Source organism: Homo sapiens, chromosome 5 (genome assembly GCF_000001405.40).
Source record: "Homo sapiens chromosome 5, GRCh38.p14 Primary Assembly".
NCBI classification, from domain to species: domain Eukaryota; kingdom Metazoa; phylum Chordata; class Mammalia; order Primates; family Hominidae; genus Homo; species Homo sapiens.
In genome coordinates this window covers 140,463,076-140,478,976 of record NC_000005.10, presented here as the reverse complement: position 1 = coordinate 140,478,976, position 15,901 = coordinate 140,463,076, and the positions used below count along the sequence as shown (strand labels likewise).

The 15,901-nt window shown below is 35.2% G+C and overlaps 2 protein-coding genes across 5 annotated transcripts in view; both read right to left on the bottom strand.

Annotated features, from left to right (window-relative positions):
* Positions 1–15,901, bottom strand: part of ANKHD1-EIF4EBP3 (ANKHD1-EIF4EBP3 readthrough) — a 147,744-nt gene that overhangs the window by 70,600 nt on the left and 61,243 nt on the right. Inside the window, exon 10 of the mRNA NM_020690.6 lies at positions 14,201–14,310. Coding sequence (NP_065741.3) covers positions 14,201–14,310 — 110 coding nt within the window. The remainder of the gene's footprint in view (positions 1–14,200; positions 14,311–15,901) is intronic.
* The window catches only part of ANKHD1 (ankyrin repeat and KH domain containing 1), a 138,017-nt gene that overhangs the window by 60,873 nt on the left and 61,243 nt on the right, over positions 1–15,901 (bottom strand). For 2 of the 4 annotated variants that reach the window (NM_024668.4, NM_017978.3), the window contains exons 10-11: positions 14,201–14,310; positions 6,500–6,738 (exon numbers count right to left, since the gene is read on the bottom strand). In NM_024668.4, the coding sequence (NP_078944.2) occupies positions 6,637–6,738; positions 14,201–14,310 (212 nt within the window). In that variant the 3' untranslated portion in view covers positions 6,500–6,636. Of the gene's footprint in view, positions 1–6,499; positions 6,739–14,200; positions 14,311–15,901 lie in introns of those variants that run through there. The other 2 variants (NM_017747.3, NM_001197030.2) reach the window with 2 other exon arrangements.

Below are 15,901 nucleotides of genomic sequence, written 5' to 3'. Positions count from 1 at the left end.
AATAAAAATAAAGAAAGAAAGTATCTATTTCTTGGCCAGGCTCAGTGGCTCATGCCTTTAATCCCAGCACTTTAGGAGGCCGAGGCAGGCGGATCACCTGAGGTCAGGAGTTCCAGACCAGCCTGACCAACATGGAGAAACCCTATCTCTACTAAAAATACAAAATTAGCTGGGCAAGGTGGTGCATGCCTGTAATCCCAGCTACTCGGGAGGCTGAGGCAGGAGAATCGCTTGAACCTTGGAGGTGAATGTTGCAGTGAGCCAAGACTGCACCATTGCACTCCAGCCTGGGCAACAAGAGCGAAATTCTGTCTCAAAAACAAACAAACAAAAAAACCCAAAAACCCTGAACATTTGGTAAAATTCACCCATAAATCCATTTGAACCTTTACCTTCTATATATGGGTAAACTACTGATTCAATTTGTAATACATGGTTTCCTATTCTAGAGTCAATTTTGATAATTTATATATTTCTAGCAAAAATTAGTATTCATTTCACCTGAGCATTCACATTTATTGATTGAATTTTAAGATCTCTACTTATAAAATAATTACAATTCACTTTTAAGTTTATTGTTATCTGTGCCTTTTCCCCTAAAAAAAAAAAAAAAGAAAAAGAAAGAAAAGCCTTGCTTGCTTGTTTTATCTGTTTTGGTAGTCTTTTTTTAAAAACCAGCTTTTAATTTCACTCTTCATCCCTATATTTTTTGTATCTCTTTTTAAAATTATTTTCTATTGTGTTAACTTTTGCTTTTATATTTTTTCCCTACATTTGGGCAACATCTCATTCTATACCATAGAATATCATGTACCACAGAATACCATATATGATAGAACAAGGTGTTCTCCTGCTTTTATTATTTTCTTCTTCCTTTGTGCTATTGTTTTAAATTTTATTTTCATCTTTAATATGTTGATATACAGAACTACAATTTTCCTTCTAAGGACAACTTTAGGTATATTCTCCCTACCCAAGTTTTGGTGTGCACTGGTAACTCAGTTTCTACCGTGTAATTTTTACTGTATTGCCTCTTAACCCCATGAATTTTATAAAAGTATTTTCCTGGCTTGGCGCGGCGGCTCATGCCTGTAATCCCAGCACTTTGGGAGGCCGAGGCGGGTGGATCACAAGGTCACGAGTTCAAGACCAGCCTGCCCAACATGGTGAAACCCCATCTCTACTAAAAATACAAAAATTACCCAGGCGCGGAGGCAGGTGCCTGTAATCCCAGCTACTTGGGAGGCTGAGGCAGGAGAATTTCTTGAACCCGGTGGGTGGAGGTTGCAGTGAGCTAAGATGGCACCACTGCACTCCAGCCTGGTGACAGAGTGAGACTCCGTCTCAAAACAAAAAGAAAAAGTATTTTCCTTCAATTTCTAAATGTATGGAATTAAAGAAGACTTTATTGTTGATGTGTAATTTTAAGGCAAGAGAGATCAGAGAATGTAGTCCATGTGATGAAGATTCAGGAGTTTCTTCGGACTTCTCTGTGGCCTAAAACATGGACAATTTTTATAAATATTCCATGTATTGGAAAAGAATATAAAGTATATTTACTGGAAACAGAATGCTAGCTTTATGAAAGATAAAAAATTGTTTGATTTTTAACAATCATTTTATGTTTGATTCATCAGTTTCATTGAGAAGTGTGTGAAAAAAATCCTACCACTACAAATGCAGATCTGACCATTTCTCTTGCAATTTTGCAGTTTTATATTTTATTTGGATGGTAGATTGTTAGTTACTGATTGGTAATTATTTTCTCAGTTGGAGGAGTATTCATTTCTAAAAGTGCTTTTGGCTTAAAATTCCATTTTGTCTGATATTAATATTGCTTTACATAATTTTTTCCCATCACTGTCAAGCTTTCCTCATCACTTTGCTTTAGGTTTGTCTCCTGCAAACAGCATTTGTTACATTTTGATTCTGACTCTAATTCAGAAGTCTCTGCCCTTTAACAATTGAGTGTAATAGCTTTATATTTGTTCTGATTACGATTCTATTTTTCTTTAAAAAAAAACTTTATTCAGTACCTTCTCCTCCTGAACAACAACAAAAGACTCTAGCGTGGCTTTTAAACTCTCTAACACATCCTTCTGATTTCCTGCTATTGTTTTCTAGAATTTTAGTACTACTTTGGTTTTAAACATTAAAATTTAGGTTTTTAAACTCAAACATTTGTATTTATAATATGTTTTATCAATTTCTTTGCTTACCGTAGTTTCTTGTATCCCACGCCTTCCTCCAGGACTCACTTTTCTTCTTACTGATGTATATATCTTTTAGTAGTTCTTTTGTCAAGGGTCTAATGATGGTAATTCGTTTATTCTTTGTAGATTTGAAAATATGTTTATTTTTTCCTTCTCTAGAATGGTACTTAAGTACAGAATTCTGTATTGTTATTTTATCTTGGTATTTTGAGGATATTACTTCCCATCATCTTCTGTAATTTATTATTGCTGATGAGAAGGTCAAAACTTTGATGGTTGTTTTTTTGTAGGTAATGCGTTTTTTTCCTCTGATAGCTTTTAAGACATTTTTCATTATCCTTAAAGTTCCACAGTTTCATCTGTTCTGCTTAGTGATGGATATGATTCTTCAGTCAAGGATTCATGTCTAGTCACAATGCTAGAAAATTCTCCACCATTCTCTTCAAACATTTCCTCTCCCCTCCATTTCTATCCTCTCCTTCAGGAACTTCTAGTAGATAATATGGTGGAGCTTCTAATCTATTCTCTTTCTCTCAATTTCTTTTTCATATTTTCTATCTCTTTACTATATTTCATTATATATTTTATTGTATTATTTCTTGTTTTATCACTCATTCACTAATGCATTCAACTGTGTCTAATATGCTGTCTTACCCTATATATTGAGGTTACCCCCCAAAACTTTTAGTTTTATTTTATATCCACCTGTTCTTAATACGTAATTATCAGCTTTTGCTTTATTATCTCACATTGTTTTATGGCTACTGGTCATAGTTTAAAATAAACATGTTCATAATTCTCAAGATTAAAGTTTATTTCAATTTCCTTGAGTGTATTATATTTTGCTTTTTGTTTGTTTACATTTTGACTATCTTTCTTGATAAAGATTCGCTCTCCAGCTTTATAATTTTTTTACTGAGGAAACTCATTTTGATGGGAGGTGTTTTGTTTTAGTTTCTTTTCCATCCACAGATGTACTCCTCATCAGATGTTTTGGAAGTTCCCTCAGTCTGGCTCTTGGAGTCCATTTCAGAAGTAGATATTTTGCTGGACACCTAAGGTTCTTGTCTCATAGAGATATTTCACTTCTGTTCCCTAAATCAAGAAGGTTGTCCTCCAAGTTTTTAGTTACACAGTTGTCTCTGTTTCTTCCATTAACGACAATTTGCTAATTTTTCCCCCCTTTTTTTTAGTTTTTTTGGGTTTGTTTTGTTTTGTTTTTTACATACAACCTGGATATGACAATTTGCTAATTTCTAACCATAACCCTAGATAGTTGATCAAATATTTTTTTATCCATTTTGGTTCACAGGTAGGGCAATAAGATGCCGGTTCCTTGCTTTATTCAAGTAGACTAGATCTACTGATGTACTACATGTGAAATGCATTCATTCCCTATTCCTCTGCACATGCTGAAATCTCAGCCCCCATTGTGTATTTTTTTAGCCCTTAATTCTCCTTGGGACTACAGCTTAAACTGTGGATCCATGCTGCACTTCTAGTCCACGGAGATCTTTAATCCTGTTGTTTTGGGGCACGACTACATATTTTTAGATTCATTTTTCTATATACTAATAATGACTTTACCTTCTTGACTGAAGTCATTTGTACTTATATTTAAACAACCTGGAGAGAGCTGAAAAGAACTCATTCAATACACAATAACATAGAAAGAGAGAACTTGGCTTTAAAAGAAATGTATTAGGAGTTTTGTGTATTCCATAGGTAGTTTTAGATTTTTAAGAAATTGACAGAAGTTTCCTAGTTTTAAGTAGTAAAGTTAAAAATATGTATATACGCTATTCCTTAATAAAAAAGTTAAAAAGTGGAAGGTAAGGTCACATTTAAAGTTTATTAAGGTAAGGTAATTACTAACAGTTGAAATACATTGATAAGTAGATTACTAGAGCTCATAAGCTCCCTAAAAATATATCTATAAAAAATACACTACAAGTCTGGGCAAGATAGCAAGACTTTGTCTCTGAAAAAAAATTTAAAAATTAGCCAGGCATTGTGGTGCATACCTGTAGTCCTAGCTACTCAGGAGGCTGAGGAAAGGGGATGCCATGAGCCCAGGAGTTCAAAGCTGCAGTGAGCTATAATCACGCTTTTGTACTCTAGCCTGAGCGACAAAGTGAGACCATCTCCAAAAAAAAAAAAAAAAAGAAGAAAAAAAAAAGGTTCTGATGAATGAGCACTGTAAGAAAAAATGTGGAATTTTTTCTATTTGGCTTTAGATAACAAAATTTTATTTTAAATTAAGTTTATTTTATTTAAAATAAGTTAATTTCCCTTAAAAAATCACAGCCACAGGGCACCCAAGACATATATTTAAGGACTGTAACTATACCACAGAGGCAATGTCTTTTGGAGTTGGAGGGAGGACATTCTCTAAGGAGAAAGACCAAAATCACAGAGAAAAGGAGGGAGACTGTTTGATACTGTACGTACTAGAGGATTCCAATACTCTTCCATGGGGAGTATGTTCCTTCAACCCACCACTGTATATTAATCATTACCTTAGTGATCTACTATTACTGATTGGATTCATACCCCTCAGGAGAACTGATATGGATAAAAGGTTAAGAGGCACTGGTCCTAAGGCTTGTGTTTAGCACATTTTCTAAAAATCACAAGTAACAGAGAGAAAAACCAAGTTTATTCAATTTGGATGGAGGAAAAATGATCGATTATAAAGCAAAGATGGAAAAAGAAAAGAACTCAGCAATGATGCAGAATAATCTGTATGGCCTCTACCAATGTCTCAAAGTGTAAAATATGGAGAACTTGTCATCAGAATCTCCTGAGATATTAGTTCAAATGCAGACCCCCTATTTCAGATCTATGGAATCTGAACCTGTAAACGTGGGGCTGCAAAACTCATTTTTAAAAAAATCCTGTTTTGAGACTTGCAGCTAGAGAGAAAGATTTACAATTACATTTCATCTAACAAATCCAGGGAAAAACAATTACTTTGATCTGAAATAACACTCAGCTTTACATTCTTGATAGGAGCCTATAATATTATACAAACTGAGTAGAAGCTCACATGTTCACATCACATTTTGTAAAATAAACTTACTTACTTCAAAGTAGAATAAATATATCCAGCCTGGACAGTACAGTGAGACCTCATCTCTATAAAAATGAAAAAAATTAGTTGGGCATGGTGGCACATGCCTCTAGTCCCAGCTACTGGGGAGGCTGAGGCAGGAAGATCACTTGAGCCTGGGATGGGAAGGCTGCAGTGAGCCAAGAGCACACCACTGCATTCCAGCCTGAGCAACAGAGTGAGACCCTGTCTCAAAAAAAAAAAATTTAAAAAATTTTTAAAAATCTCAACAGAATAAATAAAACAGCTTCTCATTTAACAAGCCAATGATGAAGACACTTAATAAGCATCATGATTAAGAGGGGTTTAGAATTAAGAAACTTAGGCCAGGCACGGTGACTCACGCCTGTAATCCCAGCACTTTAGGAGGCCGAGGCGGGTAGATCACAAGGTCAGGAGTTCGAGACCAGCCCAGCCAACATGGTGAAACCCCGTCTCTACTAAAGATGCAAAAAATTAGGTAGGCACGGTGGCACGCGCCTGTAATCCCAGTTACTTGGGAGGCTGGGGCAGGATAATCGCTTGAACCCAGGAGGCAGAGGCTGCAGGGAGCCAAGATTGCAGCACCACTGCACTCCAGCCTGGGCAACAGGGCGAGACTCTGTCTCAAAAAAAAAAAAAAAAAGAAACTTAGATGGCCTAAGTTATTTGTGATCTAATCACAATTCATTAATAATTTTAAAATTAAAAACTGCTCCTGATTTTAAATAAATCTCTTTGGATTATAATGGATATTAAATTTATTTGACTTTTAAAACCACTGGGCACAAATTCACACATTTTTTCAAAAGAAATATTTCCTATGAAAAAATATTCACCTTCTTAAAAACCAATTTCAGAATAGTAGGAGACAATTTTAAGAAGAAAATTTTAAACTTCTAGTTTATAGAAATTAGGGCATAAACTATATAGTAAACGTTTTGCTAAACTAATTTTTTTGTTTATTTGAGTATTATTTTTAAAACAATCCAATATATTAATATCACTCTGAGTTTCAGATTTTTGATGAACAAAGTTGAATGCAAAGGACTTTATTACTGAGACTTTCTCTCTGCGGTATACTAACTCTCCCAATAAAGGAGAATGTAAAAGAACTACCTGAATAAGAAAATCTATTTTCACCTAAGAGATTTTTTTAGGAATATCACTGAGAAAGAAGACTAAGGAAACAAACTACCAGCAATACAAATCTCTTTTTATTGGGACTTCATAATCTTTTTCAATTGAAGAGGATTTCCTTTGTCACCCAGCAGGGTCCTGGAACTTCTTGGCTGGAATTCAGATATCCAGAGTTCTGGTTACCTACAACATCTATTCTTTACGTAGTAGCTTACAAGCATCAAAGGCCACCCTCACCTGATGCTTGGCCGGATCTATGCCCTCCAAAATAGTCTTCATGTCCTCCTGCTTGTCCTGCGAAAGGAAAAAGAAGAACTCACGGATCTTATTCCAAAAACGAAAATCACATTTGGCCATGAAGACCTTGTGACCGATACTTCAGATGGTGGGCTTTGTTAACTCAGGATCTTCAACTAAAAAGATTCTCATCTGTAGAGACTGTAATGTCATGAGCAGAGTATAAATTTTTTTAAGGGGGTGATATTATGGTTTTTTACCAATAAAACTTCAATATAAATCTTAATATATGTAGAAATATTTCTGCAGAATTATTTAAATTCATGCCTTTGTCTCAAAAAACAAAGCCACAAAAACAGAGCAACATTTAAAAATATCTAACCAAAGAAAATAATGAAATCAAGAGATTTGGGCATATCAGAAGTTGGGAGGACGGAGGAAAATACTGTAAGATAAATAGTTACATAGCTTTTCCCCTCATTATAAATGTACTTAAGGCTTCCACTTTTCAACTAAAACAAGAACCTTCAAAGAACTTGAGAAATGGAATGTTTGTATTTTCTCTAGATCTAGACTCTTAACAGAGAGAAACTATCTAAAGGTGAGACAGGGATACAACTTAGGAAACCATAAGAAGCTTTTCAGTCATTGACCAGAGTCAACTAAATCTCCAAATAAAGGAAATGTGGCCTAGAGAAGGCTTCACTCTAAGTCATTCCAATTTCCTACCTATGTGATGTGCTTATCCTAAGAAAGTGCATGCTCCTATGGTATAGATTCAGCAAGACAGTATCCTGAGACAACTACATGATTTTAAGAAGCTAACTGTTAAGGCTCACTTCCTCTTCCCTGCCACCTTACCCCTATTTCACCCCCTATTTCAATAAATAGCCAGTCCCATTAAAATACGAATAATAAGCACAAAGTATCCAACATGGAACCTATCAAGAAGTTCCTACAAAACAAACAATAAAATTTTAGTCAAATATTCCCCAATACCTTCAAATAAATTGAAGAGAACAGGGAATCTTTACTTAAATAGCTGAACAAAGTGATAAAACAAAAGACTGGAAAGTGAATTGGAAGAATAGAAGAAACTAAATACAGATTGAGCATCACTAATCTAAAAACCTGAAATCTGAAATGCTCCAAAATCTGAAACTTTTTGATTACTGACATGACACTCAAAAGAAATGCTCATGGAGCATTTCAGATTTTGGATTTTCAGATTAGGGATGCTCAATGGGTATGTATTCTGCAAATATTCCAAAATCCAAAAAAAATATCCAAAACACTTCTGGTCCCAAGCTTTGCAGATAAGGGAGCAGTAACAGTGAAGCCATGAAAACCACATTTAGAAGTAGAAACAGGCCAGTCATGGTGGCTCATACTTGTAATCCCAGTAACTTGGGAAGCTAAGGTGGGTAGATCGCTTGAGCCCAGCGGTTCAGGACTAGCCTGGGCAACATGATGAAACCCCGTCTCTACAAAAAATAAAAATAAAAAATTAGCTGGTGTGGCAGTGTGTGCCCGTAGTTCCAACTACTCAGGAGGCTGAAGTGGAGGATTGCTTGAGACTGAGAGGTCAAGGCTGTATTAAGTTGTGATCATGCCACTGTACTCCAGCCTGGGAGATAAAGCAAGACCCTGTCCCTTTTAAGAAAAAAAAAAAAAAAAAAAAAAAGCAGAAACAAGTATACAGAAAAAAATAGTGACCTGGATGACAGACTTAAGACACAATGCAGAAGAAAAGGACAAAGAAATGTATTAGACATAAACATAATACAAATACAAACAAGCGAGATGAGGGAGACCATACATATGAATGGTAAATATCTTGAAGGACGTTAACAGAATAGAAAAATAAATAGTCAAAAACATAGCAGAAAGAAACCTTCCTTTAAAAAAAAGAAAATATCACCCCACGGTCACCACTAAAAAAAAAAAAAATTTTAAAAATTAAATACTATGACAACTTATTAAAGACTATGACTTATTAAAGTCTTCAGACAGAAAGTATTCACTGTTTCTCAGGAAAATTAATAGAATAATTAACACAAGATACATCCTGATGAAATCAGATGTTTAAGTATAATGAAAGAATTTTATGATAATCCAGACAGAAAAAGGAGACACTTACATATAATACAGAATAGTCTAGCAGGCTTTGGCAATATTCAGTACCAGAAGACACTAATATAGTGGGTTTAAAATTTTGAGGGGAAAGAACAAGTGATTCAATAATTTCATACATGGCTACATTCATTTATAAATACAACATATGGTATTCTAAAATATGCAAGCACCTATTAACTCCTTTTTTGAGGGGGAGAATAAATTCAAATCAAAATACCAGTACTAGCCAGCCAACAGATAAGTCAAGTTGAGGAATTCAGGAATCATGAAGCTATATAATAAGAAAGACTAGTAATGTAAAAACTGAATCCACTTAAATATTATATATACATATATACACATATATATATATTTAAATAACTATGAGAAATAGGGTCCTAAATCAGAATGTAAATGTATAACCAGGAGAATATTAAAATAACTCATGAAAATTCTATGGTGAAAGATATATTACTCTCCTTGTCCTTCAGAATGAAGTCAATAGATACTGAATAAATATCTGATTTTTAAAAATCTATTTGTAAATGGTGTCTTCACATACTTCCAGAAAGTAATTTTATTCCTGTGTTTTCTATAGTTCGCTAAAACTTTGGGAGCAATTAATAGGGCTAATTGTAGCACAGTAAGTTTTTTTTGTTTGTTTGTTTGTTTTTGAGATAGGGTCTCCCTCTATTGCCCCGGCTGGAGTGCAGTGATGCAATCTCAGCTTACTACAACCTCCGCTTCCTGGGCTCAAGCAATCCACCTCAGCCTCCTGAGTAGCTGGGACTACAGACACGCACAACCACACCCGGCTAATTTTTTTTTTTTTTTTTTTTTTGGTAGAGACAGGTTTTCACCACGTTGCCCAGGCTGGTTTGAACTCCTGGGCTCAAGCAATCTGCCCTCCTTGGCCTCCCAAAGAGCTGGGATTAAAGACTTGAGCTACTGTGCCAGGCAAGAAGATTTTTGTAGATAATGCAAACATAGGGGCTGTGATCAGAAATTAGAAAATTAAACTGTTTAAAAAAGGAAGAAGAAGGAAGGAGGGTGGGAGAGAAGGAGAGAAGGGAGGGAAGGAAGGAGGGGAGAAAGAAGAAATCAGTTTATATTTGTGAGAATGTGGGAGAGTCAGGAGGGATCAACTGTTAACAGAGATGTACACTGGTTCAGGATTTTTGAACAGTTTGACAATAGTTATCAAAATTTCAGATGTGGACCTCCCGAAACAATAAAATTTTAGTCAAATATTTCCCTATAACCAGCAATTTCACTTCCAGGAATTTATCCCTATTATATATATTCACAAAAGTAGCAAAGATACATAAATATGCCTAGCAATATTTACTGCAGCACCATTTGTAATATTTAAAAACTATTAACTCAGGTGTTTATGCGTAGATAAATGGTTAATAAATTATACAGAACACTGGGTACCTGTGAAAAAGAATGGGAAATCTACTGGAACACGGAAAGATGTTATATCACATATATTAAATGTACATATTTTGGGTATACAGAAATGTCTAGAGAGATACACAATATATTGTTTAAATTTTTTAAAAAATCTTATAAAAGAGGACTTGGGTCTATGTTTTCTATTTATAAGATTTAATACAGATAATAAACTGATCCATAAGATATTTTTCTTTCTATTAAGGGAGGTCCATATCAAATCTCATTTAAAAGGAAATAAGTTCCAGGAAGAAGAACTACAGAGTACTAATGTACCCATGTCTAAATTACCTAGTTTCCAATTGCTCAACTATTTTTGGAAAATGCCCAATATAGTTCACTCAGTCAGCAGAATACAGTCCAAAGAAAGCAACAAAGGTCAGAGGGCTTACTTTATGGTTACAGAGGTAAGTCAGTGATAAACTACGTTTTTGTTTTTTTGTTTTTTTTTGTTTTTTTTTTGAGACGGAGTCTTGCCCTGTCACCCAGGCTGGATTTTAGCACATACCTGTAATTCTAGCTACTCGGGAGGCTAAGGAAGGAGAATCATTTGAACCCAGGAGGAGAAGGTTGCAGTGAGCCGAGATCGTGCCACTGCATTCCACCCTGGGTAACAGAGCCAGACCCCACATCAAAAAAAAAAAAAAAAAAAAAAAAAAAAAAAAAAAAAAAAGAATTAGTACACTTAAACCTTAAACTGAGAACATATCTATGAGATGCCAGGAATGAAATACATCTCCACTGCATGCAATGGGGGATGGACAGTCCTCTATCTGCAAACTGCTGGAGGAAATTATTATAGCCCAAAACAGATATTAGAAGACAGCAGCAAAGAATGAAGGACAAGTAAGATGGTACTGCCTTGTAAGATAAAGTTGATAAGAATTACCAGTCACTTTTTCCCAGGACTCAGGGACTAATCTGCCTGCTTTACTCTGAGGTTTCCCTGTTTTTGACTAGAACTTTTTCTTTCCTCTGGCCTACAATAAAGCCTGAAATAAAATTTATTCATAGGTTTTATATTTTTTTCACTGTCACAAATTTTACTCACAAATATTCATAGGTTTTAAATATAAAAGTTATTATACTTTCCCATACTTTCCACATTTTCTTTTTCTCCTAAAAAATTATTTTAAGAGAAGGGTCTCACTATGTTGCCCAGGCTAGCATACAATGGCTGTTCACAGGCATGCTCATTGTGCACTGCAGCCTTTAACTCCTGGGCTCATGCAATCCTCACACCTCTGCCTCCTTGGTAGCTAGGACTACAAGCCCAGCATTTCCACATTTTATATGAAGAACAGTATTGCTTTTTATAATGAGGAAAAGAAATAATATTAAAATTAAGATATCAGTCCACAAATAGCAAAAGCATGGAAGAGGCTATACATTTTTAAAACTTAAAATCAATATATAAAATAATTCAAAATAAGAAAAGGTAAAAAGTTATACATATAGAGTTATTAAATCTAACAGTATTTGTAATAGTGAAAAATGAAAAGCAAAAGTTCCATAATTAATGAACGAGTATGGTTCATCAACTTGATGGAATATGATGCAAGAGTTATAGAGACTATATAGTAATATGGTAAAGATTATGATAGAACACAAGAACACATAGTGAAAAAATAGAAAACAACTGTATTATATATTGTGTCTATAATTTCATGTAAATATGAATGTAAAAATAGATTGCAAGATAAAAATGAATAATTATGTTAGAACAATGGCATTACTTCTGTATTGAATAATTAAGATATGTATTTATCTGAGCCTTTTTTTTTTTTCTCCCAGATGGAGTTTCACTCTTGTTGCCCAGGCTGGAGTGCAATGGCACTATCTCAGCTCACTGCAACCTCCGCCTCCTGAGTTCAAGTGATTCTCCCAAGTATCTGGGATTACAGGGGCCCGCCACCATGCCCGGCTAATTTTTTTGTATTTTTAGTACAAACAGGTTTCACCATGTTGGCCAGGCTGGTCTCGAATTCCTGACCTCAGGTGGTCCGTCCGCCTCGGTCTCCCAAAGTGCTGGGATTACATGCGTGAGCCACTGCGCCTGGCCTATCTGGGCCATTTTTAATCTTACATTTTGAAAGTAAGTAAATACGGTAAGTTCAAATAGCTCTATCTGTTCAATTAATGTAGTTCTTCTAAGGAACTAAATAATAAACACTCTATTTTAACTAATTCCAGAAGACAGTAAAAATAAAATATTTAAAAATGTAACAGATATTAACTTGGTCACAATCAGTATGGTTTTGTTATACATTAGAGTACATTTACCAGATAGCTCCTCTTTTATCCTATTTAATTTTTTTCTTTTTTTTTTTTTTGAGATGGCGTTTTTGCTCTTGTTGCCCAGGCTGGAGTGCAATGGCGCAATCTAGGCTCACTGCAACCTCCACCTCCTGGGTTCAACTGATTCTTCTGCCTCAGCCTCCCAAGTAGCTGGGATTACAGGCATGTGCCACCACACCCAGCTAACTTTTTGTATTTGGTAGAGACAGGGTTTCACCAAGTTAGTCCGGCTGGTCTTTAACACCTGACCTCAGGTGATCCACCCACCTCGGCATCCCAAAGTGCTGGGATTACAGGCATGAGCCACTGCACCCAGCCCTATTCAATTTTTTAGAAGAACTCCCAACAGGTTAAGACAGTGACTTTGTTGTAGAAAATACAATGAAGAGAGAATCCAGGTAAGAATTTAGAGGATAAGAGTATTAAATTTTGCTTATATTATCTAAGCTTTTAAGTTCTACTCTATTTCTTTATTTTGAATGACAAACTTCAATTCCTAATTTTTATAGACGACTCAAAGCAACTCTATAAAAGGAAAAAGATATAGAAAGAAGTCAAAAGACTAAGATGTACTTAACATATATTGCTGTCACAATTCTCAGACAAAAAAGCATACCTCCCAAAAATTATAACTGATAGGGAAGGTCCTAATTAATAAGAATGAATGATAGTGTTTTCATTACAATATTTTGTATTAGTAGAAATGATAATAAATAACAATCATACTACACATTTATTTTGGTTAATAATTATTTTCCAATAATGTTCTCAGGTATCTACTTGGATGATTTAAAAGGTAATACTTGCATAGTTTTTTCTAAATAAGCAAAACTAAGAAATCTAATTCTCTATAACATTTACAGCTATGTATGTCACACATAAGTTTTTAAGAAATGTATCAGAGAATTCTGGGAAAAACTCTAGGAAGCAGTTTAAAGCACTCTCACAAAATAAAAGCTAGGCAAAGCACACATTTCAGCAAGAGGCATGAACATTTAAATGGAATATTATTTTTATATAGATTATTACACATATGAACCTGCCACCTAATTTGAAATTTTGAAAAACCAAAACAGAAAACACAAAAAGAATAGAATTTGTAGGAATGTACTAGAAGGATGATTAACAATAGTAGCTTTGTTTTGAAATGTCTAATCAGAGAAACAACAGAAATCATTCAAAATGATGATGGATGTACTAATTACTCTGATTTGATAATTACACATTATATACATGTATTGAAATATCACTCTGTACCCCATTAATATGTTCAATTATCATGTGTCAATTAAAATAATAATAAATCACTCAAAGTGACTTGACTTGTTACTCTATTCTGTGAACACATCATTGAATTTATGATATATCTAACAGATGGCAGTTTAAAAAGCACAGGAATGTCAAATGGGGGTGGAGTGAAAGGAAGAAACAAACTAGTAGTTTTACCTAGGAAAAGAAACAGTATGCCCTGTTCAACACTAAGTATTTTCAAATACATTTAATACATACAACAACTAGAACAGGTAGCCAAGCTTTTTTAAGTTACTGTATACAAAGTACGCAAACCATTGATCTTTAGTGTTTTCTAAATGTTAAGTATAAATGGATATTAACATTAACGCAAAAATATTTGAAATTAAAAATATCTTACTAAATCAGCCCCTGCTTGAAGTAAAACATCTGCAACATCCGTATGTCCATTTTCACAAGCATAGGTTAAGGCTGTGTCTCCTGTTGCTGTTGTAGCATGCACATTAGCGCCTAGCAAACAAAAAAGCATACATTTACTTTGTGAACTGTAAAATTGTATTAGATAGTCCAATTTTGCAATCTGGTGAAACTGAAGAATTCAAAATGTGAAAATATCAAAATGCATTTTAAGTATACTAGTTTTCCTTTAAATATGCTTTATAAAAATAATTTGAGTCATACCAAAAAGAACTAAACCAAATGATTTTAAAACACAGTAATTTGCCCTTACATCAGTAGTAAGATATACCCTAAGGAATAAAAGAGCTGCAAAACCAAAAAATATTAAGCATTTTTCAGAAATCATATTGGTGGTACTTTTGGTTTGTATTCAGAGACAGTTCTATGGATATTGTGGTATAAATCAAATGAGCAATTATTTCGTGAGAACAGAAATTTTGGGCATGGTTAAGGGAAAACACAGATATAAGTTTTTTTTTTTTTTTTTGAGAGATAGTCTCACTCTGTCGCTCAGGCTGGAGTGCAGTGGCATGACTCAGCTGCAACCTCTGCCTCTTGGGTTCAGGCAAGTCTCCTGGCCCAGCCTCTCGAGTAGGTGGTATCACGGGCACATGCCACCACGCTTGGCTAATTTTTGTATTTTTAGTAGAGATAGGGTTTTACCATGTTGGCCAGGCTGGTCTTGAACTCCCAACCTTAGGTGAGATATAAGATTCTTGAACTTAAGTAAAAATCTTGTGGTTCTAGCCAGGCATGGTGGCTCAAACCTGTAACCCTTGCACTTTGGGAGGCTGAGGCTGAGGCGGGCAGATCACTTGAGCACAGGAGTTTGAGACCAGCCTGGGCAACGTGGTGAAACCCTGTCTCTACCAAAACAAACAAACAAACAAAAAAATTAGCCAGGCATGATGGCACATGCCTGTAGTCCCAGCTACTTGGGAGGCTGAGATGGGAGAATTGCTTGAGCCCAGTAGGCGGAGGTTACAGTGAGCCCAGATCATGCCACTCCACTCCAGTCTGGGCAACAGAGCAAGACTCTGTCTCAAAAACAAAACAAAACCAAAAAAAACCCTTGTGGTTCTGAATTGGAAGTACTGAGGTGGTCCCTTAGCATCCTTCGAAGGTGACCAATGAATTCCTGATATATTTGATCTATAAGAAAAATATATATTCCCCAGCCCTGACCAACTAAAGCCTAGAGACAATGGTAGTAGACTAAATAAGCATAAATAGCATCTCTAGCTTAGATTGTGGTCTCTAAGTACCATTTACTAAATAATGAAATTAGGGCTTCTTAGAAAAATGACTGATCCCAAGGCTGGAGCAGGAACTGTACAAGATGAGCCTGGAACACTTTGCCATATGAGAAAGCAAGGAAACTATCAGAGACTACAATGAGGTCATGTCAAAAGGATTTAGGAGCTAACCTTACTGACCAAAGATATTCAAACTGTCCCATCTTCTGACAATTTTTACATCACAAAGAATGACCGTGATGAAGTAAAGGCCATCTTATATATTTAAATCTGAAAGTTCAAAATGATGTTCAAATAAAAAACAAAAAAACAGGGCCAGGCACAGTGGCTCATGCCTGTAATCTCCGCGCTTTGGGAGAACAAAGTGAGAGGACTGCTTGAGGCCA